Source organism: Homo sapiens, chromosome 19 (assembly GCF_000001405.40).
Source record: "Homo sapiens chromosome 19, GRCh38.p14 Primary Assembly".
Taxonomy (NCBI): Eukaryota; Metazoa; Chordata; class Mammalia; order Primates; family Hominidae; genus Homo; species Homo sapiens.
The window spans coordinates 39,468,967-39,479,537 of record NC_000019.10 but is presented as its reverse complement, the minus strand read 5'-3'; the positions used below and the strand labels follow the sequence as shown (position 1 = coordinate 39,479,537).

General features: G+C 54.8%; 1 protein-coding gene across 6 annotated transcripts in view, besides 1 other annotated feature; it reads right to left on the bottom strand.

Annotated features, from left to right (window-relative positions):
• SUPT5H (SPT5 homolog, DSIF elongation factor subunit) overlaps positions 2,868–10,571 on the bottom strand; it is a 31,089-nt gene continuing 23,385 nt past the window's right edge. For all 6 annotated transcript variants that reach the window (NM_001111020.3, NM_001130825.2, NM_001130824.2 and 3 more), the window contains 16 exons: positions 10,366–10,459; positions 10,140–10,276; positions 9,264–9,419; positions 9,015–9,161; positions 8,035–8,181; positions 7,808–7,933; positions 7,045–7,129; positions 6,609–6,728; positions 6,424–6,526; positions 6,208–6,335; positions 6,017–6,122; positions 5,417–5,575; positions 5,136–5,304; positions 4,820–5,023; positions 3,362–3,457; positions 2,868–3,282 (listed from right to left, as the gene is read on the bottom strand). In NM_001111020.3, coding sequence (NP_001104490.1) covers positions 3,139–3,282; positions 3,362–3,457; positions 4,820–5,023; positions 5,136–5,304; positions 5,417–5,575; positions 6,017–6,122; positions 6,208–6,335; positions 6,424–6,526; positions 6,609–6,728; positions 7,045–7,129; positions 7,808–7,933; positions 8,035–8,181; positions 9,015–9,161; positions 9,264–9,419; positions 10,140–10,276; positions 10,366–10,459 — 2,121 coding nt within the window. In that variant the 3' untranslated portion in view covers positions 2,868–3,138. The remainder of the gene's footprint in view (positions 3,283–3,361; positions 3,458–4,819; positions 5,024–5,135; positions 5,305–5,416; positions 5,576–6,016; positions 6,123–6,207; positions 6,336–6,423; positions 6,527–6,608; positions 6,729–7,044; positions 7,130–7,807; positions 7,934–8,034; positions 8,182–9,014; positions 9,162–9,263; positions 9,420–10,139; positions 10,277–10,365; positions 10,460–10,571) is intronic.
• Positions 5,116–5,245: a silencer, noted in NCBI's record as "silent region_10606". NCBI's record gives its function as "represses an Ori minimal core promoter by ATAC-STARR-seq in GM12878 lymphoblastoid cells {active_cell/tissue: GM12878}" and the evidence as "EXISTENCE:reporter gene assay evidence [ECO:0000049][PMID:35858748]".

The window sequence follows — 10,571 nt, the reverse complement described above, 5'->3', positions numbered from 1 at the left end:
AGAACAAAATGGAGTCTCCTATGTCTACTTCTTTCTACACAGACACAGTAACAATCTGATCTTTCTTTTCCCCACATTGTCAGAAATAGACATTGAGGCCCAGAAAACGACCTGAAAAGCCAGCCCTCGAAAACTCTTCTGGCCAGGCGCTGTGACTGACACCTATAATCCCAGTGCTTCGGGAGGCCGAGGCAGGAGGATCGCTTGAGGCCAGGAGTTTGAGACCACACTGGGTAACATAGCAAGACTGCAATCTCTATTTTTAAAATTAATAATAATAGGCCGGGCGCAGTGGCTCATGCCTGTAATCCCAGCACTTTGGGAGGCTGAGGCAGGCGGATCACCTGAGGTCAGGAGTTTTGAGACCAGCCTGGCCAACATGGGGAAACCACGTCTCTACTAAAAATAACAAAAAAAAAAAAAAATTAGCCAGGCATGATGGCACGCGCCTGTAGTCCCACCTACTGGGGAGGCTGAGCAGAAGAATCGCTTGAACCCAGGAGGCAGAGGTTGCAGTGAGCCTAGATTGTGCCACTGCACTCCAGCCTGGGCGACAGAGGGAGACTCCGTCTCAAAAAAAATAAAATAAAAATTAATAATAAAACTCTTCCTCACGTGGAGCTGGGAGGCAGAATCTGTTTTCTCTCCCATTCCTTCCTGCCATGATTTTCTATAAAGGACTGGAGAGCCAACCATTTTACCTGAGGCTCAGCCAAAGAACAGCAGTATCTGGCTGTACAGGGCTTGAGTGAGAAACGAATTAGAGGCTATAGATAAGACACCACGAACCTCCCTTAAATTGAGTGGAAGAAAAATCAGATCCTGTTTATGTAAACTTTAAAACCAAATACCAAGGTAGTAAAAATACAAATTCAAGAAAGGGAAAGACACAAGGAACTCGGCCCTCCTGGTTACTTCTGGGGGAATGGATTTAGGGTGCTGCTGAAGTGGGTCCTATCTAGTACATATTGTTTCCTGTTTCCTCAGCTGGCTGATGGGGACATTGGTGTTCTTGGTATATAATCTTGAACGTCTGAAATGTTTTTTGGTGTTTTTTTTTGTTGTTGTTGTTGGTTTTTTTTGGTTTTTTGAGACAGAGTTTTGCTCTGTCACCCTGGCTGGAGTGCAGTTGGTGCAATCTCGGCTCACGGCAACCTCCACCTCCCAGGTTCAAGCGATTCTCCTGCTTCAGCCTCCCAAGTAGCTGGGAATACAGGCGCCCGCCACCATGCCCAGCTAATTTTTTTTGTATTTTTAGTAGAGACAGGGTTTCACCATATTGGTCAGGCTCGTCTCAAACTCCAGACTTCAAATGATCCGCCCCCCTCGGCCTCCCAAAGTGCTGGGATTACAGGCATGAGCTATTGCGCCCGGCCTGAAATGTTTTATAATACATTTACATTTGTAAAAAGACAGGAATATCTAACGAGGAAGGGAAACAGGTTCTGGGTACTAAGCCCCAGTCTCTAAGATTGCACTCACTCCTGCCCCCAAGTCATTGGATGAACTACAGCAATCCTGGTGTCACTGCTATCAGGGTTCAAGAAAAAGGACCGCTGAGCACTGTGGCTCACGCCTGTTATTGCAGCACTTTGGGAGGCCGAGGCAGAAGGATCACTTGAAGCCAGGAGATCGAGACCAGCCTGAGCAATATAGTGAGACCCGTCTCTATGAAAAACTTAAAAATAAAAAAATTATCCAGGCGTGGTGGCACACGCCTGTAGTCCCAGCTACTTAGGAGGCTGAGGCAAGAGGATCGCTTGAGCGCAGGAGGTTGAGGCTGCAGTGAGCAATGACTGCACCACTGAACTCCAGCCCGGGCAACAGAGGGAGACCCCACCTCAAACAGAAAAGAAAAAAAAAAGGATCATTGGCCAGGTGCAGTGACTCACGCCTGTAATACCAGCACTTTGGGAGGCCGAGGCGGGCGGATCACGAGGTCAGGAGTTCAAGACCAGCCCGGCCAACATGGTGAAACCCGTCTCTCCTAAAAGTACAAAAAAAAAAAAATAATAATAGCCAGGCGTGGTGGCTCACGCCTGTAATCCCAGCTACTCAGGAGGCTGAGACAGGAGAATTGCTTGAACCCAGGAGGTACAGGTTGCAGTGAGCCGAGATCATACCTCTGAACTTCAGCCTAGATGACAGAGAGAGACTCTGTCTCAGGGGAGGAAAAAAAAAAAAAAGGCCAGGTGCGGTGGCTCACGCCTGTAATCCCAACACTTTGGGAGGCCAAGGTGGGCGGATCACGAGGTCAAGAGATCAAGACCATCCTGGTCAACATGGTGAAACCCTGTCTCTACTAAAATACAAAAAAATTCGCTGGGTGTGGTGGTGCACGCCTGTAATCTCAGCTACTGGGGAGGCTGATGCAGGAGAATCGCTTGAACCCGGGAGGCGGAGGTTGCAGTGAGCCAAGATCGTGCCACTGCACTCCAGCCTGGTGAGAAAGCAAGACTCCATCTCAAAAAAATAAAAATAAAGAGAAAACAAAGAAAAAGGACCATCAAGCACTGTATCCTGCACCACAGGAGGAATTTAGGTTTCCTGGGGGATACTGTGATTTTCACTTAGCATAATTCATGCCTGAATAAGATATAATGTCATCAATCACATGACAAGCTCTACTCTGATCATCTCCTTCCGACGTCTTCTCATACACACTCCCCTCAAGAGCTCTCTGGGGCAGGCACTATCACTATTATCTAGATGGGAAAACAGATTTAGGTAGGGTCCAGTTATTTGCCCCAACCACAAAGCAAGGAAGTGGGGTCTGCAAATGACCCCACTTAAAAACAACACCCTCATTCCCACGGCATACACACACACACACACACACACACACACACACACACACACACACGCACTTTTAGACCAAACAGCTTCTTTTTATTGAAAGACGGTACAACAAAAGCAAGCTGTGGGGAGGAGGTACAGGAAGGTGGGGACCCTCCCCCAGACTCTACTCAGATTCCAATGAGCACCAGGGAGGGAAAAGATGGAAAACTAAAAGGAAAAACAAAAGGAAATCCAGAACAATCCGCCTAGCCCTGCAGGAGGATCTTGTGTCACAGCCAAGGGCCAGGGAAGGAAGGAGGATCACTCTTCATCCGACGAAGTCCACCGGCCCTGCCTGCTTCAGGCTTCCAGGAGCTTCCCCAGGAAGCGGAGGTTGAGGATCTTGAGCTGCTCATCAAGGTCCATACGGACAATGCCATCCTCACCATCAATGCTCAGTAGGACGCCCGTGGCTTCCCGATCCTCGCCCAGGATCACTTTCACCTGGGGGTGGGGGGAATATGGTCAGGGTCCATGTCAGCACCCAACGGCCCCATCTTATCTCCTTGCCCCCTGCCCTTACCTTGTTGTTCTTGGTGGGGGTGATAGGCTCCAGGTGCTCACTGGAAATGCTGACAACCTTCTCACTGTCCTTCAGGTACACAGAGCACATGCCCCCCTGGAGGATGGGGACAGCCTGGTCAGCCTGTCCTGCTCCCAACATGGGACTGAGGCCCATACTCCAGGGGACACAGGCTCAGGGCTCATTCTGAGAACTCAAGGTGAAATGGGGGCAGGAAAGGCCAAGGCTGGGCCTGGTTCCAAGGCCTGGGGCCTGTGGTGCATGTCAGGGTGGACAGGGTGACCCAATCAGCAAGGGAAGCATCAGAATGAAGCTAACAGGCAAAAAGGAGACTGCTTCTTGACTCTTCATGTCCCAAACTGGCCTCAGCGTCTTCCCCACACCTGCTCCTCTTCCTGGACCTGGTCTCAGGGACCGCCCCATGGTCTGCAGGCCCCACCAGAGCTCTGGACCTCATCTTGGTCACCTCCCTCACCAACAAGCCCCTAGCTCTGAGGCCTGGCCATTCAGCCCGTGAGGGTCTCTCCCACCTGCCTCCTGCCTCTTCCCCACAGCCCTGCCCCAGTGCAGCCCAACCTCCCCCTGGGGTCCCAGCCCAGTCTCCCCACCCCCAATCCATCACTGATGGAGAATTCCATACCACAGATCTGCTCCCACCCCTCTCCTGCTTAGATTCCTTCATGGCTCTCCGGCGCCCTCTGGACAGTCTAGGTCCTCCAGGCTGGTGCATGACAGGGCCCCAGCCAACTCTCTGGCCTCATCACTCACCATTTTTTTTTTTTTGAGGAGTCTTGCTCTGTCACCCAGACTGGGGCGCAGTGGCACGATCTCGGCTCACCACAACCTCCACCTCCTGGGTTCAAGCGATTCTCCTGCCTCAGCCTCCCAAGTAGCTGGGATTACAGGCATGCGCCACTATGCCCAGCTTTTTTTTTTTTTTTTTTTTTTTTTGTATTTTTAGTAGAGACAGGGTTTCACCACGTTGACCAGGCTGGTCTTGAACTCCTGACCTCAGGTGATCTGCCCACCTCGGCCTCCCAGAGTGCTGGGATTACAGGTGTGAAGCACTGCTTGGCCCCCTTTGGCTCTTTATGTTCCAGCCACAACAAACCCTTCAGCTCCTGGAATGTGCCCAGGTTCCCCTCACCTCCAGGCCTCTGCACATGCAGTTCCCTCCATTTGGAACTCACTCACCCCAGTCACTTTCCTTAGCTTACTCCTATTCATTTGTCAGGTCTTGGCTCAGATTTCTCCTTCCCCAGGCAGCCCTCCCTGATTCCCCGCTAAATCAGGTAAGATGCCTCCTTTGGGTTCACATAGCTCCCCTTGCCCTCTAGGCTTCCTCAATCCCAGCTCTGCCCACTCTGGGCTGTCACCATCTGGGGACAGGTCTGTCTCCAGTTTAGGGGGTACCAAGGAGAGGATGCCTGCTCACCCACCACCCTGGGCCCCACGTACCGTGACACTGCGGATGACACCTGTCTGTCCCACCACCTGTGTATCCAGGTAGGTGTCCCGCACCTTCACCTGAATGTCAGTGGTTACCCAGTCGCTGGAGTTCTGCTCGATGCCTGAGCCTGGCGTGTGTGGGTTGTAGCCACCAGGGGAGGGAGCTCCAGGTGTCATAGGACTGTAGCCAACGGGGCTCGGGCTGGGGCTAGCCTGCAGGGGAAAGAGGAAGTGTCATTGGGAATAGTCATCTGGCCTGGCCGACCCTATATGCCCAAAGTCACCCTAGCCCACCACCCTTCAGGGCAGGCAGGCAGACCATTACCTGATAGGCCATGGGCGACGGTGTAGGGTGGTAGCTGGCTGGGGAGTGGGTATTCTGGTAGCCTGCTGGGCTTGGCGCCACCTGGTGGTAGCTCTGGGGGCTGGGGCTGGGCTGGTAGGAACCTTGTGGGGAGGGGGCAGCATAGGGAGAGAACTGGTCTGTGTTGTACCTGCAGAGACAGGAGAGAAGGGGGCATTTGTTGGAGGAGGGAGGGGAAAAGAGGTGGTGGCAGTAGGAGGGTTTGGGCAGGGGTAGACGAGGGCAGGCCCCAGTGGACTCACATGGCCGGCGTCCCTGGCGTCTGCGGGTTGTATTGTGGGTTGACCTGTGGGGACGAGGGGTCTGGGTAGCCAGGTGTTTGGGGATTGGGGGTTCCCCCATAGGCCTGCGGGGACGGGGTGGGCTCATCATCGAAAGCATACTCATATTCTTCCTCAGCCCTGTTGGGAGAAAAGTCTGTTGACAGCGACTGTGGTGATAATGCGATGGATGCTTCCAGAACAGCACCCTACACCAGACCCCCAACTGAAGCAATTTCATTCTCACGGGAGCCCCATCCAGAGGCACTCCTGATGTTATTTCCCTTCCACAGCTGACACTGTGGTTGACAGAGATGAGGGTGCCCTCCCAAGGTCACTCCACCCAGGCAGTCTTTCTCCAGGCCCAAGGGTAACCACAATCACTACTGAGGTTGGGGATGGAGAGGAGGCCGCTTTGCCCCCGCCCCGCCATGCTATGCCTCCTCCTTCAAAGGGACCAGCCTGAGGCTAGGAGCAGAGAATGCTGGGTGGGCCCCACAAACCCCTCCAATGCCCCAGACACCCAGCATCATCCCTCACACACACCAGCACACACCAGAACCTGGGGAACCCTGGACTCACCGTGACGGCGTGTTGGGGTTGTTGGGGTCCCAGGCCCCACTCTGGGCAGGAGTGCGGCTGCCATCATGCAGGGGCGTCTGTGAGCCGTAGTGTGGGGTGCGGCTACCTGGAATGGGGGAAATGAGTGTGTCTGTCCTGTCCCTTCTCTAGGTCCCCCTAGCCCCTCTTCCCTGTCCCCTGCGGGCACTCACCATCCTGGAGGGGTGTCTGTGAGCCGTACATGGGTGTTCGGGAGCCAGAGCCATACATGGGCGTCTGGGAGCCATACATGGGCGTCCTCCCATAGGTCGAGGTCATGCCGCCCGGGCGCCGTGAGCCCCTGGGGACGCAGAGAACAAATGGGGTGAGCAGACCCCTCTCACTGCCTAGCAAGCCCCACCCTGGCCCTCCCCAGGCCCCGCCCGTACACCGTGGTGAGCCGCTGACGGTCCACAGAGATGGTCTGGCAGGTGGAGTGCAGCTCCACACGGGCCGTGGACTCTGTGGCATCTTTCACCACACCGATGTAGCCTGCAGGGGGACAGGAGGTCAGGCTGGGCAGGCTCTCCTTCACCATGCCCCTCCCCAGGCCTCCACAGGCCTCGCAGGTCACCTTTGTAGGGCCCCTGGGAGATGCGCACGGTCTGGCCGATGAGTTCGTTGTCCCTCCGGCCCCGGCCCCTGCTCATGCCACCACTGCCGCCACCTGGGCTACCAAAGCCGCCACGCTGACCTGGGGATTGGGGAGAATGTCACTGGTCCCCCACGGCTGTGCCCACAGCAAGGGCACCATCAGAACGTCCCCTTCACTTGCTTGACTCCTCCCTACTTGGGTTAAGAGCCTCCTCTGCCCACCCCTGCCCCATGGCTTTCCTATGGAAGCCCTGACCATTCTGGGCTGTCACTGTGGCGTCTACCCTCCTGTGGGTGGTGAACCCCTAATAGCAGTGCCCAGCCCAGCACAGGCACTCAGTGAGTGTAGGCTGAACAACCAAGTTCCTTCCAGCCCCTTCTACCCACCACATCCCCTGACCCTGAACCCCTCTCACCTCCAGCACTGGGGTGCATGGGGCTGCTGATCCGGGGACTCATAGGCGCAAAGCCACCCACGGTGAAGTTGGTCACATCACGGGGCTAGGATAGAAGCAAGGAGTGAACTGGCAGGCAGGGGATGGGGGAACCACAAACCACAGGAACTCATCATCCCACGTGCAGGGCCCTGAGGAGACCACCCAGCCACCCACACCCCAGGCCTGAATTCCTCTGTGACAGCTGGTCCTGCACACTTTCCTACAAGCCCCACCTCAGGGCCTTTGCACTTGCTGTTCCCCCAAAATGCTCACTCTCCATCCCTTCATTCAGGTCTCTGCTCCAATACTGCCTCCCACTGAGGCCTTTTTTACCCTCCTCTGTCTAAAACAGCAGCCCTGGTCACTCCCTGTCTCCTGAGCCCATTCTGTTTTCTTCACAGCGCTTGCTATCACCTCAAGCTGTACGATGGGTTTATCTGTCTGTCCACCTCTAGAGTATCAGCTCTGTGAGAGCAGAGTATTTTTGTCTTGTTCACCACTGGTTCTCCAGTGTCTGGCACCTAACAGGTGCTCAGTAAAATGAAATGAATAAATAACTTAAAATAACTTGGTGAACAGCTCAGAATCCCAAATAAACCTTCTCACTCTTTGCCAAGGACCTGACAATGACACTGCTCTCCTAATCCCTCACAAGCCCAATCTTATCACTTCTGGGGCCAGAGGAGGCTTGGAGAGCTGAGCCAGGTACCCAACGCACAGGGTCCTGCCATGCCCACCTCACCTTTGAGCCCCCAGCCAGCACCAGGTGGCGGGTCTTGCAGACAAACATGCCCCCGTTCTCCACCAGTTTCTTGCAATGTAGGAAGGCGAAGCTTCGGAAGAGATGGCGAATCTCCCCTTCTCGGCCCTAGCCGGGGAGAGAAGGGTCACTCTCTTGACCATGTCCCCCTCACCCCCAACCAACCAAATTCTTTCAGATGCAGCTCAAAAGCAGGAACTTGTACTCACTGAGTGGGGGCCATCAATGACCTTAACGATGTCTTTCACATGGATGTTGTTCTGCTCTGAGTCCAAGGCCACAGCAAAGCGGTTGTCCTTCTTCCGGGTCACAGCCTGATGTCTGACAGTCACCACCTTCCCGTACATGTTCAGCACCTACAGAGGGAGAGCAGGGAGGCTGTGGGGGTGAGAATGGGAAGGGGAGACACGGGGCAGGGGTTCCCTAAAGTGGGATAATCCTTCCTTGTGGGAGACAGTCCCAAGCTCCACAAGGCATCTCAATTCCCTGGCTGCGGGGCAGGCAGGCAGAGTGCCACCCTTTAGGTACTGGGTCAACCAAAAATGTTCCCAGTCATTCTAAAACACCCTTTGGAAGGAGACTCCACCCCCGATTGGGCAACAGGGACCTGAGAGATGGAAGAAGGGGCTGATAGCAACATTGTTCATCCATCATTCTGTGTCAGGCCCCGTAAGATTTCACTGAAGCCTCAAAACTTCCTCTGAGGTGGATTCTGTCATGATTTCCATCTTACAGAGGGAAACTCAGGCTCAGAGAGGGTGAGTCACTAGCCCAGGGTCAGACAGCACAGGAGCAACAAAGCCAAGATGTGGATGTGGAGTCCAGGATCCTAAGTACTGTGCTCCATGACTCCCACATCCATGAGGAAGGAGCAAAGGCAGGAGGGCACATGTGGCACTCCATCCTTGAGCGAGCAACAGCCACCAGGGTACAGATCTAACCTCAGGGAATCATTCACTATGAACAAAGTAGACGCTGCTCTCGTTTCCATTTTATAGGGTGTGAAAACAGGCAAGGGGAGGGATCAATGACTTGCCATGTGCCCACTATCAGCCATTCAGATGTAAGTGACAGAGCCAGATCTGCAACCCAGAGCAGTCTGGGGGCTCTGCCACCTCCCAGGATGAGGGGTTGAGGGACAGGAAGCCTCCTAAAAGCAAGTCCCCGCCACAGAGCACAACACACACACCTGGAAGGTCTCCCGTTCTAGTCGCACGATGACACCCACAGTCTGGGGATCCAGCTGCACCAGCTCGCCCCATTCATGCTGGCCCCCAACATCCACACCTGATGCTGTCTCTGAGCAGAGCTGCAGGTCCCGGGGGAGCACCTTCAGCTGCCAGGGATGGTGAAAGGGGTGAGGCCCAGTCCAGGTGGCTCGCCTACCTGGGTCTCCTCTTGGCACGTGCACCCTTCCCCGACCCTTCTATCCACCTACCTCATGCATGGTGAGGTCAGAGAACAGGATAACGAAATTCTCCTCCACCCGCACAATGAGGCCTGTGTCGCCCTCGAATCGGCCAGCAATCACCTTCACGTGGTCCCCCATCTTGAAGTATTTTCTAAGTTCCTGGGCTGGGAACTCCAACATGTCCTGGGGGATTGGGTGTGGGGACAACAAACAGGTGAAGGGAGACCACCACAACCTGCCTGCCCCTCCTGTCTTCAGAATCTACGCATGTTCTCAAAAACCCCACTTCAGGCTCTTACCACCCACCCCAGACTACCTTAGTCCACCTGGACGACCCCTCAGACTGCCCCAGAAACAGCTGACCCCAGACACAGGACACCAACCTGGACAACCTTTACCCCAGCCCGCCCTCAAGACACACGATGCCTACCTATACCCACACAGAGAGCCTGCCCCTCAGACACAGGACCCCCGACTGGACAGCTCCTCAGCCCCACCCGGAGACAGCCTCACCCCACACATCACACTGGGCCTGCACAACCCCTCAGACATACACCAGACACAGACAAACACACACCCCGCTCTAAGCAAACAAAGTCAAGCCTCAGATTACTCCTTGGTTAATCACACTCTCAACCCAGTACTACCCAGATATCTTGCTTTTCAGAAACAAAAGATAGACCAAGTCACTCTCCAGAGACAGACACCACCAGGCAGGCCTGCTGCCCACCGACCCTGAGCTGCACTCAGACAGAGCCTCTCAGGCACCTGAGAATGCTAGAAGGGCCTCAACTTACCCTCCTGGAAACCAGGTGTCACCAGGCACACCACCGCCTCGACAGCCACATACAGTCAGATGTGCCTGAACACTCCAACCCCTGCCCGAGAACACCGGGCACCCACCTTGAGGTCCTCATGCTTGGGCATGATGGTGATCTTGTTGCCATCCACGCTGAGGATCTTGCCCTGCAGGTTGATGAGCTCACCCTCACAGACCTCCACGTTGTCCCCAGGTTGGAAGTTGTGCTCCCGCTCCTTCCCTGCAGGGGCAGTCGTAGGGCTGACTCGGGGGTTGCCACCATGGGCCGCCCCTGCTCCTTGGCCCAGGTTATAGAGGGGGATCAAATACCTGTGCTCTCAGTCACCACCTCCAGGTCAATGCCCTCTGGCTGGTCCTCAAACTTTTCCAGCTCAGAGAGTGTTGGCTTCACACCCTCCGTGATCTAAGCCCCCAGCGGTGAGGGGAAGAGAAGGAAATGGACCGAGGTCAGTGCAACAGCCCAGCTGAGTGGGCTGAGTGGGTCCTAGGGGAATAATTCTCCTAGGGAACACTCC